The following is an 18,077-nucleotide window of genomic DNA, read 5'->3' on the forward strand; positions in this document are numbered from 1 at the left end:
ATAAATTCATTTTCTCACAGTTCTGGAGAGTTGGAAGTGCAAAATCAAGGTGCAGGCAGATTCACTTTCTGGTGAGAACTTCCTGGCTTGAAATGGCTACCTTCTTCCTGTGTCCTCACATGGCAAGGGGTAGGAAGGGGAGCTTTTAGGTGTTTCTTATTATAAGGACAAAGAGCAGTAATCCCATCACACTACGGGTCTCACCCCTACGACTTTATTTAAACTTAATTACCTTCTCCTATGATTTGAATATCCCCTGCAAAACATGTTGAAATTTAATCCCCAAAGTGGCACAATTGAGCAGTGGAACTTTTAAGAGGGCCCTTCCCTCATGAATGGATTAATCCATTCATGGATTAACAGATTAATGGGTTATCATAGGAGGGAAACTGGTGGCTTTATAGAAGAGGAAGAGAGACCTCATCTAGTATATTAACATTTTAGCACTCTTAGCCCCCTCGCCATGTTATACTCTGCACTGCCAGAGAACACCATAGAGAGTCCCCACCAGCAAGAATGCTCTCAGTAGATGCACCCCGTTGACCTTAGATATCCCAGCCTCCATGATTGTAAGAAATAAATTTCTTTTCATTATAAATTATTCAGTTTCAGGTATTCTGTTATAGGCAACAGAAAATGGACTATGATAAAACCTTCTAAAAGGTCCTTTCTTCAAAAATTACCATATTGGCAGTTACAGCTTCAACATATTAATTTTTTTTTTTTGTGGGGGAGACACAATTCAGTCTATGACAATATGGTTACAATATATATGCAAACAAGACACACAGATGTTTCCTTACTCTTAATGTTTTAACATGAAAATGCCTGCCTCCAAGGGATTTTAAAAGTTTATATCTAAAAGACAGATATTAATTAATACCATTAAATAAAACAAATGTTCTCTAAGTTCTAGAAGCAATATGTCCCAGTGCATCAAAATGATACCTTGATGTTAATTGAGCTCCCAGCTAATTCTAGACAGATTTACTTACTGGGAATACAGTGGTGAACAAGACAGAAATGTTCCTGCTTTCATGGAGCTTACATTCTAGAGTGGAGAGAGACAGTAAATCAATATATAAATATGTAAACAAGAAAATATATGGTAGTGATAACTGCTATGAAAAGAAGATGATACTGCAATAGCAACAGTGTCACGGGGCCCCTCAAAATTGTGTTGTTTAGGGCCCCTGTCTCAGCAGGTCACAATGTGATGATAAGGAGAAGGTGGCTGTACGAAGAGCAATCCCAATCACCAGTAATAACAAAAATCAGTACAATTTGGAGGTTGCTTTCATTCGTTATCATATTAAAATCATTATTCTTAAATAAGAAAACCCATATTAACTATCAACACATTCTTAGATGTGGAATGAGCAACTGAGAAATTTCTCGTGGTTCTCTGTGACCAATGATCCTAAGAATAAATTATTACTTGCGAGAATTTTAATTAAGTTGTTCTTCTGCCTGCCAGGCTATCGTTTAGCTGGATAAGGGGACAATTAGTTTTATTCTGAAAAGCATCTTGGATTCACATATCTGTAATCAATGTACTCACATAAGTGTCTACAACTAGAAATTTGTGGTTGTCTGGAAGAGCGTTTAACGCAGAAAATTCATTAAAACAGGGAGTATCTATGTATAATATGCCGCTTTCTAAACAAACATTGAAACTGAGTTCTTGACTCAGTCTAACATTACTCTCTCATTGGAAGTCTTCATTAGTGTTGGTCATTTTTATTTAAACATTTAGCTTAAAATATCTATTAGATAAATTCCAGGCTGGATTTATGACAGAATGTAGGAAATAGAAACCCTGAATAATTAAATCTGGACCAGATTCACAGGGTTAAAATGGCTGAGTCTAGTACTCCCTTTTGGTGAGTGCCTAGGAAGGGAAGAGTAGATATCTTGAAAAGGCTTTCTGGTTGCTCTGGGCTAAGAACAAGCAGGTGATTATGACTTACATATGTTTCACATTTGTTAATAAAAGGGTGAGAATCAACCTGTTGGCATTATAGTCTCATTTGAGACATTAAAAGCACCAAGGAAGGATTAAAATTAATTAATCTATGTGCAAATAGGAGAGACAAGGATTGGAAACACATCCTATGATAATGTGGGTACACTTCCACATCATAGTGGACAGAGAAAATTCAGCACATTCTCAGAAAATTTGCATTAGGAAATATATGTAATTGAAATTAAGAGGCCATTACTGGGGTAAAGGAATGAGATGATCAACTTGTTTTTCTCATAAAGACAATAATAATAGAGATGAATTGATTTTTTTCTCACCCTTTTCTGTTCATGTTCTCTAATATCTTCTTGTTACATACCTATGAGTCTCTAGAATCTTGAAGTTTATAAAGTAAGGGAAGCAAAAGGCTAGGGTGTCATTCTCCTCTAATAGCACTGGTAATTCATAAAGTCATGAAAGTTTCTGAATTGCACCTGATGCTTAGTGTTTTTAGAATTATACTTCCCAAACCAAATCCTTTCATGTTAAGAGACCATAATTTCCAAACAGCATGGCTGAGATGCTTATTCCATCATCTTTATTAGTGAGAGAGAAACTGTGCCTTCGTTGTATTATTCCATTGAATACCCAGCAAGTATTCAGATAATAACCCTTCTCAGACATTTGCTACATAACAGAAGCCTGCACTTCAAAAAACTTCAGCTTGGAGTATATTTCAAATCGTGAGCTGGAGTATTGACATCCAAGGTTGAAACTGACTCGTTGTCATATGACTCTAGGTGAAATTTATTTACATCCTTCTTAAGTATTGTTTTGAGGTGGACAGAATTGCTTTCTATTTCCTAACTGATTCACAGTTATTTCTCACCTTGAAATTGATGCCACAAAGATACTCAGGGAGAAGAGCAACTCCAAGACACATAATTGTCAGATTCACCAAAGTTGAAATGAAGGAAAAAATGTTAAGGGCAGCCAGAGAGAAAGGTCGGGTTACCCACAAAGGGAAGCCCATCATGCTAACAGCGGATCTCTCGGCAGAAACTCTACAAGCCAGAAGAGAGTGGGGGCCAATATTCAACATTCTTAAAGAAAAGAATTTTCAACCCAGAATTTCATATCCAGCCAAACTAAGCTTCACAAGTGAAGGAGAAATAAAATGCTTCACAGACAAGCAAATGCTGAGAGATTTTGTCACTACCAGGCCTGCCCTAAAAGAGCTCCTGAAGGAAGCACTAAACATGGAAAGGAACAACTGGTACCAGCCACTGCAAAAACATACCTAATTGTAAAGACCATTGAGGCTAGGAAGAAACTGCATCAACCAACGAGCAAAATAACCAGCTAACATCATAATGACAGGATCAAATTCACACATAACAATATTAACCTTAAAGGTAAATGGACTAAATGCTCCAATTAAAAGACACAGACTGGCAAATTGGATAAAGTGTCAAGACCCATCAGTGTGCTGTATTCAGGAAACCCATCTCACATGCAGAGACACACATAGGCTCAAAATAAAGGGATGGAGGAAGATCTACCAAGCAAATGGAAAACAAAAAAGGCAGGGGTTGCAATCCTAGTCTCTGATGAAACAGACTTTAAACCAACAAAGATTAAAAGAGACAAAGAAGGCAATTACATAATGGTAAAGGGATCAATTCAACAAGAAGAGCTAACTATCCTAAATATATATGTACCCAATACAGGAGCACCCAGATTCATAAAGCAAGTCCTTAGAGACCTAGAAAGAGACTTTGACTCCCATACAATAATAATGGGAGACTTTAACACCCCACTGTCAACATTAGACAGATCAATGAGACAGAAAGTTAACAAGGATATCCAGGAATTGAACTCAGCTCAGCACCAAGCGACCTAATAGACATTGCAGAATTCTCCACCCAAATCAACAGAATATACATTCTTCTCAGCACCACGCCACACTTATTCAAAAATTGACCACATACTTGGAAGTAAAGCACTCCTCAGCAAATGTAAAAGAACAGAAATTATAACAAACGGTCTCTCAGACCACAGTGCAATCAAACTAGAACTCAGGATTAAGAAACTCACTCAAAACTACTCAACTACACGGAAACTGAACAACCTGCTCCTGAATGACTGCTGGGTACATAATGAAATGAAGGCAGAAATAAAGATGTTCTTTGAAACCAATGAGAACAAAGACACAACATACCAGAATCTCTGGGACACATTTAAAGTAGTGTGTAGAGGGAAATTTATAGCACTAAATGCCCATAAGAGAAAGGAGGAAAGATCTAAAATTGACAGCCTAACATCACAATTAAAAGAACGAGAGAAGCAACAGCAAACACATTCAAAAGCTAGCAGAAGGCAAGAAATAACTAAGATCAGAGCAGAAGTGAAGGAGATAGAGACACAAGAAACTCTTCAAAATATCAATGAATCCAGGAGCCCGTTTTTTGAAAAGATCAACAAAAGTCATAGACCGCTAGCAAGACTAATAAAGAAGAAAAGAGAGAAGAATCAAATAGACACAATAAAAAATGATAAAGGGGCTATCACCACCGATCCCACAGAAATACAAACTACCATCAGAGAATACTATAAACACCTCTATGCAAATAAACTAGAAAATCTAGAAGAAATGGATAAATTCCTTGACACATACACCCTCCCAAGACTAAACCAGGAAGAAGTTGAATCTCTGAATAGACCAATAACAGGCTCTGAAATTGAGGCAATAATTCATAGCTTACCAACCAAAGAAAGTCCAGGACCAGGCGGATTCACAGCCAAATTCTACCAGAGGTACAAGGAGGAGCTGGTACCGTTCCTTCTGAAACTATTCCAATCAATAGAAAAAGAGGGAATCCTCCCTAACTCATTTTATGAGGCCAGCATCATCCTGATACCAAAGCCTGGCAGAGACACAACCAAAAAATAGAATTTTAGACCAATATCCCTGATGAATATCAATGCAAAAATCCTCAATAAAATACTGGCAAACCGAATCCAGCAGCACATCAAAAAGCTTATCCACCATGATCAAGTGGGCTTCATCCCTGGGATGCAAGGCTGATTCAACATATGCAAATCAATAAACGTAATCCAGCATATAAACAGAACCAGCGACAAAAACCACATGATCATCTCAGTAGATGCAGAAAAGGCCTTTGACAAAATTCAACAACACTACATGCTAAAAACTCTCAATAAATTAGGTATTGATGGGACATATCTCAAAATAATAAGAGCCATCTATGACAAATCCACAGCCAATATCATACTGAATGGGCAAAAACTGGAAGCATTCCCTTTGAAAACTGGCACAAGAGAGGATGCCCTCTCTCACCACTCCTATTCAACATAGTGTTGGAAGTTCTGGCCAGGGCAATCAGGCAGGAGAAGGAAATAAAGGGTATTCAATTGGGAAAAGAGGAAGTCAAATTGTCCCTGTTTACAGATGACATGATTGTATATGCAGAAAACCCCATCGTCTCAGCCCAAAATCTCCTTAAGCTGATAAGCAACTTCAGCAAAGTCTCAGGATGCAAAATCAATGTGCAAAAATCACAAGCATTCTTACACACCAATAACAGACAAACAGAGAGCCAAATCATGAGTGAACTCCCATTCACAATTGCTTCAAAGAGAATAAAATACTTAGGAATCCAACTTACAAGGGATATGAAGGACCTCTTCAAGGAGAACTACAAACCACTGCTCAAGGAAATAAAAGAGGATACAAACAAATGGAAGAACATTCCATGCTCATGGGTAGGAAGAATCAATGTCATGAAAATGGCCATACTGCCCAAGGTAATTTATACATTCAATGCCATCCGCATCAAGCTACCAATGACTTTCTTCACAGAATTGGAAAAAACTACTTTAAACTTCATATGGAACCCAAAAAGAGCCCCCATGCCAAGTCAATCCTAAGCCAAAAGAACAAAACTGGAGGCATCATGCTACCTGACTTCAAACTATACTACAAGGCTACAGTAACCAAAACAGCATGGTACTGGTACCAAAACAGAGATATAGACCAATGGAACAGAACAGAGCCCTCAGAAATAATGCCACATATCTACAACTATCTGATCTTTGACAAACCTGACAAAAACAAGCAATGGGGAAAGGATTCCCTGTTTAATAAATGGTGCTGGGAAAACTGGCTTGCCATATGTAGAAAGCTGAAACTGGATCCCTTCCTTACATCTTATACAAAAATTAATTCAAGATGGATTAAAGACTTAAATATTAGACAGAAAACCATAAAAACCCTAGAAGAAAACCTAGGCAATAGCATTCAGGACACAGACATGGGAAAGGACTTCATGTCTAAAACACCAAAATCAATGGCAACAAAAGCCAAAATTGACAAATGGGATCTAATTAAACTAAAGAGCTTCTGCACAGCAAAGAAACTACCATCAGAGTGAACAGGCAACCTACAGAATGGGAGAAAATTTTTGCAATCTACTCATCTGACAAAGTGCTAATATCCAGAATCTACAAAGAACACAAACAAATTTACAGGAAAAAAACAAATAACCCCATCAAAAAGTGGGTGAAGGATATGAACAGACACTTCTCAAAAGAAGACATTTATGCAGCCAACAGACACATGAAAAAATGCTTATCATCACTGGCCATCAGAGAAATGCAAATCAAAACCACAATGAGATATCATCTGACACCAGTTAGAATGGTAATCATTAAAAAGTCAGGAAACAACAGGTGCTGGAGAGGATGTGGAGAAATAGGAATATTTTTACACTGTTGGTGGGACTGTAAACTAGTTCAACCATTGTGGAAGTCAGTGTGGCGATTCCTCAGGGATCTAGAACTAGAAATACCATTTGACCCAGCCCCATCCCATTACTGGGTATATGCCCAAAGGATTATAAATCACGCTGCTATAAAGACACATGCACACGTATGTTTATTGCGGCACTATTCACAATAGCAAAGACTTGGAAACAACCCAAATTTCCAACAATGATAGTGTGGATTAAGAAAATATGGCACATATACACCATGGAATACTATGCAGCCATAAAAAAGGATGAGTTCATGTCCTTTGTAGGGACATGGATGGAGCTGGAAACCATCATTCTCAGCAAACTATCGCAAGGACAAAAAACCAAACACTGAATGTTCTCACTCATAGGTGGGAATTGAACAATGAGAACACATGAACACAGGAAGGGGAACATCACACACCGGGGCCTGTTGTTGGGGGTGGGGAGGGGGTGGGATAGCATTAGGAGATATACCTAATGTTAAATGACGAATTAATGGGTGCAGCACACCAACATGGCACATGTATACATATGTAACAAACCTGCACATTGTGCACATGTACCCTAAAACTTGAAGTATAAGAAAATAAAAAAAATTGCTATGTGTCCTAAGCAATATTCCTTCCTCTGTTCTACTTATAAATTCATAAAGGTTTCCTATTTCCTACCAAATGAAATTACAACTTCTTGGCATTGCTCAGCAATCTTGCTTGCTTCACAAGAATTTCCAGATTGATCTGCCCCTTGAATCTCAACCATCTCTTCCCTGTTCACCTCTCATTTTGGTGCTACTTGTATTATTCTGGTGATATGTATTCATACCAATGTACCTTTGTTTGTGCTGTCTCCCCTGTGTGTAATGTTCTTGCTTTTCTCCTCCCTGTCATCGAAGGCCCTTCTCCTACTGTTAAAATACTCTTTGTCTTCCAGACCAGGATCCAGTGTTTTCTCTTCTTTCATATATTGCTGTTTCTCCTAGTAAGAGGTGGCCAACTCTATCATGCACCTCTATTTTCAAGCACAGCACAATTGACATTAGAGTTATTTGTGCACATGTCTTTCTCCTTTGATGGACTATGCATTCATTTATGTAACCTCCTTAGGCCCTTAGACTATGCCTGCCATGCAGCAGGTAGTTGATATTCATTGTATTTAACTGGCTTTGAGAATTTTAATGATTTCTTTGGCATCTATCCTGATCTAGAAAGCAATGGTTATCATGGAACAGAGAATCAACAGCACTGTTTAGAGAAGGGAAAGCTAGACAAGAGCTATCCTAGGTTTTTGTAAGTAATTATAGCTTAGAACAATTTTGCACCAAAGAATCAAGACAGAGCAGGTTGAGCTTAGCAGTCTTGACTATAAGTTCTGAAGACTCTCAAGACTATGACCACAATGGAAAGGCCCCATTTATAGCGTAAGCAAGACTGCTTTGCTCAGTTCTCAATCAACTATCATGGCTACTTGTTAATCAGTGAAGCCAAGTTTCCTCCTGGATGGCAACAACATTTGGTTGTAGTTATGGAGGCAGATTTGATTTTGATTGACTCAGACCTCTGATTGCTGTGTCACAAATATGTAGTAGGATGACTCATTGAATGACTAGCCTCTCAATGGAGAGCTCAGGACCTTTCACCTAAGATACTTTATTAGTAAAGAGCCCATGTTTAGAAGACAATCTCTCCCTTAGTTGATAAATCCGAGGCCATGTCATGATGCAGCATAGTCTAGTGCAAGGAAAGTCAGTCATGAAGATTATAACTTGGTTCTAGTCTCAGACAAGCCCTGAATTAATTTGGGATCTCCAAGAACATATTGTAATGAGCTGTGTCTTCAGACACACTTCCTCATGGATTCTGACTCAGCTGCTTACTATCTCTCAGCCATCTTTCAGGGATTTGCTTCCCTGAGTCTGATTGTCCTTATTGTAAGGCAGGAATAAGGAAAGTTCTTAGAGAAATCAGTATAGGTTTAATTGAGATGCTATCAGGAAAACACCTGGCATAGAGCTCAGGACAGAGGCACTAAATATTGATCTAAATAAGTGTTTAAAAATGTTTATTTTCATTTTTTGCCTACCCAAATCCTCTTGGTTTTTCATCCAGGCATTTAGGAAAAATATCCTGCCTTGATCAAAGTGGACAGGATTGAACAAGTGGGACTAACACTAAAGAGCTTCATTTTCTTTAGAGGACTCCCTTAAATATAATTGTGTAAAATATTCACCGGCACTGGAAAAACAAGACCAGGCATTGACCTTGTCATTTAGGCATAGGAGTGAACTGTTGTAGCATAAAGTTTCCCCCATAGTGGTTCTCAGCAGGCTTATGTGATGAGAGAATGATCAGGAATAGCTCACATAACCCAGAGGGATTTTTTTTTCTCACCATTCTCCTTACTTATCTATATCCTCAAGTATACACATTCATTAAGACCAACATCAGGCTCAGTGAGCTAACATATTTCATGTAAGGCAGTGAGTCATGAACAGAGCTTTCCTCTTACTGAGGAAATCTGCTGAAAAGATCATTGATCACCTCATCTACAAAATGGGAATAACTAAGCACTTAGCAGATGCTTGCCCCAATGGCTGTTACCAGGGTTACTGGACATTTTGCCAATATATTAAAAACTGGTTACAAATAAACTCTTCAGACTTAAAAAGGCTGCATTTTGATTTGAGTCTTCCAGGTGACTTCCACATTCCTACAGGTGGCTAACATTTGATAAATATACTTTATTACAGATAAGAAGAAATTGCTATACTAAATTCGAAACCAAAAGTGCACCTGCAGCTCTATTTTGCCAATTAATATCTATGTTAAGCTTCCTTGATTTAAAAAGCAATTAACTTTAAAAGAAAAGATAACTGATTCATAAATTCACATTCCAAGGCTGCCTACCTTTAAAGTTATTGGTGAATTTCATTTTTTGCAAAGACATAGGATACAAAAATAAGCCCTGTGACAAGTCTGTAGTTTTCAAAGATGTTGAGCACTCAATCAATTTGCTATATATTTTTTTCACAAAATGTGCAATTTAGGTAACATATGCTGATTATGAATCAGCAGCAATCGTATACATACTGTGGAAGAACATTCCTCTTTATACAGTGTATCAAATTTCTTCATCACTATATTCAGCTAGTTTCTGTGTTTAAATATTTACAAAAAAAAATCTTCGGAGGGGAATTTAAACTAACAACCTTTAGTTCCATCATCAACTGATGGCTTAATCACGAATAGCATAGTCATTTAAATTAGCCTCCTGTGGATGATTAGACAATGTAGCCGATGGACCAGTGCGAGGTACCTCTGTAAAATGGGCAGTAAAAGCCATGGAATGGCTCACTCCCAATTAATAAACGAACCAACAAACCAATGACAACTCTTTAGTACCTTGGATGACTGATTCCTGCTTACTGTCTGAGGTTCGTTTCCCTTTGGAACAGCTAGTTCTACTTCTCATTGTGGATAGTGATTGGACAAGGAGGGACAACTAGATTAGTGCACTTTCCCTATGTCCCCCATGTTTTTGCTTATGGAAAAAAATTCATTTCAGGGAGCCAGTATGTTCTTGAACTGTCTTTTTCAAACTAAATTCTGTCACCTGTTAGCAAGTTGGGAAATCCTTTTAATGGGTCACGCCAAGCATGTAACCTATATTTATTTATGTGGGTTGCGTTCAAAAATGTTTGAAAGCCACTGGTTATTTACATATTGGATTAAAAATTAGCATTAAGGAGATGCTTTTTGACCAGGAAAATTTCCCCCGTGACAGACTATTAAGAGAGAATTCAGAAACAATAGGTCATCTGCTATCTCCTACTATCTTTTTTTTTTTTTTTTTTTTTTTTTTTTTGACAGAGTCTCTCTCTGTCTCCAGGCTGGAGTGCAGTGGCGCAATCTCGGCTCATTGCAACCTCCGCCTCCCAGGTTCAAGCGATTCTCCCGCCTCAGCCTCCCAAGTAGCTGGGACTACAGGCGCATGCCACCATACCCAGCTAATTTCTGTATTTTTAGTAGAGACAGGGTTTCACCGTGTTGACCAGGATGGTCTCGATCTCTTGACCTCGTGATCCACCCATCTCAGTCTCCCAAAGTGCTGGAATTACAGGCATGAGCCACTGCGCCTGGCCTCTCCTACTATCTTAAAAAATACAGACCTGCAATAGCACCTGAAATTATTAGTTGCCTGTTAAGGCAGTCTGATTCTGTCCATACAATCAGCCCTCCCACTGGTACCTAGCATTCAGCATGTTTCTAACTATGAAATAGATGCTATAATTTTCTATATGCAAAAATTCCAAAAGGTAAATAAAGAGAGGAGCCAGGATTCATAGATGAAAACTTACACAATTATGGGTGCCCTTTTTAAGGAAAAGAATATCAAGGTATAATTACAAAATTAAATATGAAAATAAATACTTACATGGAATAAATGAAAAAATCACAACAATTTCCTGGAGACTTGGAGATTTAGATTTCTTTCTTCTGAGATCTCTTTAGGCAATTTACGAGAAATACTTAAACAGAAGTTCTTCGTGACTATAAACAGGCTTTCTCTCCCCTTCTGAAACCTGCAGCAACTCCCAACAACCAAGGGGACCCTGAAGCTTACAGCTTCATGTACCTAATATTAAATACTTCTCTGGCATAAAAAATTTGAAAAATGAACATAGGAGAGCACACCAATGATGCAAAGATGGGGCTGTATTAAGTTTAGTGCTTAGAGTAAGGCATTGAATGTTCATATACCAGGATGGGTCCAGCTCTGCCACTTATTAACCTGAGACTTTGAGCAAGTTACTTAACCTCTCCTCTCCACACCTTCATTTTCTCCTTTGCAAAATGGAGTTATTGATTTTACCTGTCTTAAAGGACAATAAATGAGACTATGCATGTGAAACCTCTAGGACAATGCTAGGCATATAGTGTGTGCTCAATAAATGCTTGTTATTGTTTTATAAAAATCTGCAGTCAGCATCAGACACAGATAATTTGGATTCTAGGCCCCACTCTTAATTTTGCTTTTATTTTTCTGTGCAATGTGATAATGTCCATTCCTGGGGTGGGGGGAAGTGATAAAATGAATGAAACACAGAGAGCTCTTTGGAAGAAAGGTGATCTATCTATCCATATCTGTATATCTACCTATCCATCTATCATCTATCTATCTATCTATCTATCTATCTATCTATCTATCTATCTATCTGTAATATAGTGGATGAGTACAGGTAAATTTAGAGCACATTAATAAGATGAGCAACTCTTACACTGTGAATAAATGACCAGTTACATAATTTCTATACATATAAAAACTCAACTCATTGGGGGAGAAATAGATTGGCAAAGGAGAGAAGGGAACTATAAATAGTAAATAGTCTATAGTAAGTAGTCCTTGCAATAAAAAAGGTATTTTTTAAATCTAGTTTTTCTGAAATGACAGACATAGAATTCGGAATCTGGATGGCAAAGAAGCACATTGAGATTCAAGAGAAAGATGAAACCAAATCAAATGAATTCAAGGAATCTAGAAAAACGATCCACGAACTAAAAGATGAAATATCCATTATAAGAAAGAATCACACTGAAATTCTGGAACTGAAAAATTTAGTACAATAATTTTATAATACAGTTGGAAGTATTAACGGGAGAATAGACCAAGCTGAGGAAAGAATCTCATAGTTTCAAGACCAGTTCTCCAAATTAATTCTGTAAGATAAAGATAAACAAGAATTTTAAAAATGATCAAAACCTCTGAGACATATGAAATTATGTAAAGAGACTAAATTTACAACTCATTGACATTCTTGAGAGAAGGAGAGAGAATAAGCAACTTGGAAAATATATTTGATGATACAGTCCATAAAAATGTCCCTAATCTTGCTAGAGGTTGATATGCATATACAGAGAACCCTGGTTAGATACTACATAAGATGACCATCACAAGGGTACAAAGAAAAAAAAATCTTAAAGACAGCTAGAGAGAAGGGTCAAGTCATATACAGAGGGAACCCCATTAGGCTAGCAGAAGATCTCTCAGGAGAAATCTCACAAGCCAGAAAAGATCAAGGGCCTATTTTCAGTGTTCTTAAAGAAAAGAAATTCCAACCAAGAATTTCATATCCTGCCAAATGAAGCTTCATAAGTGAAGGAGAAATAAAATTTTTCTCACACAAGCAAGTGCTAAGGGAATTTATATTAACAAGCATTCAAGGGGTAATTAATAGAGCGCTAAACATGGATTCGAAAGACCACCACCAGCTACCACAAAAACACACTTAAGCACATAACCCACAAACACTATAAAGCAACTACACAATCAAGTGTACATAACTACAAGCTAACAACACGATGACAGGCTCAAAATCTCACATATCAATATTAAGCCTGATGGAAAATGAGCTAAATGTTCCACTTAGAAGACACAGAGTGGAAAGCTGCAGAAAAAGACAAGACCCAACCTTCTGTTGTCTTCAGGAAACCCATCTCACCTGTAGTGATACCCAAAGGCTCAAAGTAAAGAGATGGAGAAAAATATACCATGCAAATGGAAATCAAAAAGAGTGGAAGTTACTATTCTTATATAGGATAAAATTGATTTTAAATCAATAAAAATTAAGAAAGACAATGAAGGGTATTACATAATAATAAGGGTACAATCTAAAAAGAAGACCTAATTATCCTAAATATATATGTACACAACATTGCAGCATTCAGATTCATAAAACAAGTTTTCCTTGGCCTATGAAAAGATGTAGGCAACCACATAATAATAATGGGAGACTTTAACACCCCACTGATAGTGTCAGACAGATCATGGAGGCAGAAAACTAACAAATAAATTCTGGATTTAAATTCAACACTTGACCAACAAACAGAATATACATTCTTCTCATCTGCACATGGAACATATTATAAGGTTGACCACTTGCTTGGTCATAAAGCAAGTCTCAATAAATTCAAAAATATTGAAATCATACAAAGCTTATGCTTGGACCACAATGCAATAAAAATGGAAATCAATATCAAGATTTCTCAAAACAACATAAATACATGGAAATGGAACAACTTGTTCCCAAATAACTCTTTGAAATTAATGAAAATAGTGACACGAATAACCAAAATCTCTGGTATGCTGCTAAAGCAGTGTTAAAAGGAAAGTTAATAACCCTAAAAGCCTTCATCAAGAAGTTGAAAAGATCTCAAATAAACAATCTAACACACCTAAAGGACCTAGAAACAAAACAAAACCAAACAACCAACCCCAAAGCTAGCAAAATGAATGAAATAACTAAAATTAGTGAATAACTTAATGAAATTAAGATGCAAAAGTTCATAAAAAAGATCAATGAAACTTTCAAAGCATTTGTCCTTCAAGAAAAAACAAAGATTGATAGATTGCTAGCTAGAGCAACAAAGGAAAAAAAACCCAGAAGATCCAAATTAGTACCAAAGAGGACATGACAACTGATCCCACAGAAATATAAAAGATCATTAGAGATACGATGAAAAAATCTATGCACATAGAAATAACTAGGAAAACAGCTAACCAAGGAGGTGAAAGATCTCTACAAGGAGAACTACAAAACACTACTGAAAGAAATCAGAAATGACACAAATAAATGGAAAAACATTTCACGCTCATGAACTGAAAGAAAGAATCAACATCGTTAAAATGGTCATACTTCTCAAAGCCATTTACAGATTCCACACTACTCCTGTCAAACCACCAACATTGTTCCTTACAGAATTAGAAAAAAAAATTCTAAAACTTATATGGAATGAAAAAAGAACCTGAATAGCCAAAGCAATCCTAAGCAAAAGGAACAAAGCCAGAGGCATTACACTACCAAATTTCAAACTATATTATAAGGCTCTAGTAACCAAACAGCAAGGTACTGGTATGAAAACAGACACATACACCAATGGAATAGAATAGAGAACTGAGAAATAAAGCTGCATACCTATGAACATATGATCATTGACAAGGCCAGCAAAAACAAGCAATGAGGAAAGAACTTCCTATTCAATAAATGGTGCTGAAATAACTGTCTAGTTACATGCAGAAGAAATGAAACTAAACCCTTACCTTTCACTATATACAAAAATTAACTCAAGTTGGATTAAAAATTTAAATATAGGACCTCAAAGTATAAAAATCCTAGAAGAAAACGTAAGAAGTATCCTTATCAATGTTGGCTTTGACAAAGAATTTTTTGCTAAGTCCCCAAAAGCAATTGCAACAAAGACAAAAATTGACAAGTGGGACGTATTTAAACTAATGTGTTTCTGCACAGCAAAAGAAACTATCAACAAAGTAAACAGACAACCTATAGAATGGGAGAAAATATTTGCAAACTATGCATCCACCGAAATCTAATACACAGAATCTCTATGGAACTTAAATAAATCAATGAGAAAAAAACAAATAATTCTATTAAAAACGATCAAATAACATCAGGAGATACTTCTCAAAAGAAGGGATACAAGCAGCCAACAAACATGAAAAAATGCTCATTATCACTAAACATCAAAGAAATGTAAATCAAAACCACAATGAGATACAATCTCACACAAGTCGGAATGACTATTTTTTAAATAGTCATAAAACAATAGATAACTGGCAAGACTACAGAGAAAAGAGAATGCTTATACACTGCTGGTGGGAATGCAAATTAGATCTGCTGCTGTGGAATGTAGTTTGGAGATTTCCCAAAGAATTTAAAACAGAGCTACCATTTAACCCAGCAATCCCATTTCTGGGTATATAACTCAAAAGAAAATAGATTGTTATACCAAAAAAACACATTCACTTCTGTATTAATTACTGTGCTAATTACAATAGCAAAGACATGGAATCAACCTAGGTACACATCGGTGGTGGTTTGGATAAAGAAAATGTGGTACATATACACCATGGAATACTACACAGCCATAAAAATAATGAAATAATGTACTCTGCAGCAACATGGATGCAGCTGGAGGCCATAATCTTAAGCAAATGAACACAGGAACAGAAAATCAAATACTGCATGTTTTCACTTATAAGTAGAAGCTAAACAGTGAGCATATATGGACATAAACACGGAAACAACAAATGCTGTAGACTACTAGAGTGGTGGAGGGGAGACATGGGTTGAAATACTACTTCTTAGATACTATGCTCACTACTTGGGTGCAGTATACCTATGTAATAATCCTGCACACATACCCCCATATCTAAAATTTAAAAAGTTGAAATTTTAAAAAGAAAATGAAAACAAACAGAAGTTATATTTATTACATGCAAGTAAGTAAATGATAGAACTACTTGTAATTACCATATTGATTACGTGTAAATAAATTAACACTGGGTGATTTTCAAATTACTTGATCAAATGTCCTAAATGGGATAAATGCCTTCCTGCTGAAATATATTTGCAATAATGACTTTGCTTAGAAAATATTTTTTTCATAGATAGAGCAAATGTAAATCTCTACCTCAATCCATTTCAAAATCTTGAGACATTGTGAATGGCAGAATTTATATTATTTACTGCATTTAATAAAAGATAAAATGTATAAACATTTAACACATCAAATCCAACTACTGTACTGGCACTCTTAGTCAATCTGTTTGGATATATGGTTATATAGGATCTTCATGCATTTATGTATTTTCTAATGTCATTGGTACCAACATAATGATTTCTAGTGTTTTGGAACTCTGCGGAAATGAGGGTGGGCGGGGGAGAGAGAGAGAGAGGGGGAGAGAGAGAGGGAAAGAGATTGACAGATAGAGAAGAGGAAGAATTTTAGATTCTAGATAAAAGGAAAAAGTCCACTTCTATTTTCTCTAGATTTTCAATCATGTGCTTCTTTTGTTCTATTAATAAACAATAACTCCACAGTCCCTCTTTTGAGTTAAAAAACATTTAAATTAGAATGTAGAAGTATTTGTCCTTCACAATTTACTTACAGGGAAAATAGATACTCACATAAAAATTGAAAAGTACATTTTTCCTTAATACCAGCCAACACTGTAATTAATAGTTAATTATTCAAAGGATTTTGCTAAGATATTACTTTCTTAAAGTATGTAATAATTAAATTTGCTACAAGTAAATATAATCAACTATATTCAAATATATTTCATTAGAGACACTTAGAAAAAGTTGAAGCAAGTGGAACCTACATAATTACAGAAGAGTACTGACGTACTCTTCTTGGACCCAGAAAGTCCCAGAGACATCATCTGCATTGACAAAGGCCAAAACTCAATTGAAGGAGATTCTAGAAGACTCTCCTGCCAGGATTCTGCTCCTCTAACTGAACCTGATTCAAAAATTTCTACTTAATGAGAGAGCAAACTACATTTTAAATGCAATTTCTGCAGTTGTAAATGATGATTGAAATGATTATTCTTATCAGAGAGTTTCTGAGCTAAGAAATGTCTCTTGTGCTACAGATGAGAGATAGAGACCCAGGAAACTATGGACTCACTCTCACTTTATGGCAAAACTGAGTTCATAAACATGTCTACTGACTTTGAACTGAGGGCATTTTTCATCATTTTACCTGGCTTTCCACCTACTAGCCTCAGGTTTACTCCTATAAAAAAGATTTCCATCAAAATTTCCCTTTGCTGGTAAAGTCTTAATGATACAAAATCGACTTACAAAATCAGTAGCATTTCTATACACCTATAACCTCCAAACTGAGAATCAAATCAAGAATACAATTCCATTTAGAATAGCCACACACAAAAATATGCCTAGGAATACGTCTGAGGTAAAAGATCTCTACAAGGAGAACCATACAATACTGCTGAAAGAAATCAGAGATGACACAAACAAATAGAAAAGCATTCCATGCTTTTGGGTTGGAAGAATCAATATTGCTAAAATGGTCATACTGCTCAAAGCAATCTACAGATTTGATGATATTCCTATCAAATTACCAACATTATTTTTCACAGAATTAGAAAAAAATATTCTAAAATTCGTATGAAATAAAAAAGAACCTGAATAGTCAAGGCAATCGTACAAAAAAGAACAAAGTTGGAGGTATCACATCCAACTTTAAACCATACCATAAGGTTACAGTAATCAAAACAGCATCGTACTGGTATAAAAATAGACACACAGACCAATGGAACAGAATAGAGACCCCTGAAATAAAGCTGCACACCCACAACCAACTTATTTTTGACCAAGTAAACAAAAAGCAATAGGGAAAGGATACCCTATTCAGTAAATGGTGGTGGGAAAACTGACTAACCATATGCAGAAGAATGAAACTGGACACCTAACT

This window comes from Homo sapiens, chromosome 15 (genome assembly GCF_000001405.40).
Source record: "Homo sapiens chromosome 15, GRCh38.p14 Primary Assembly".
NCBI classification, from domain to species: domain Eukaryota; kingdom Metazoa; phylum Chordata; class Mammalia; order Primates; family Hominidae; genus Homo; species Homo sapiens.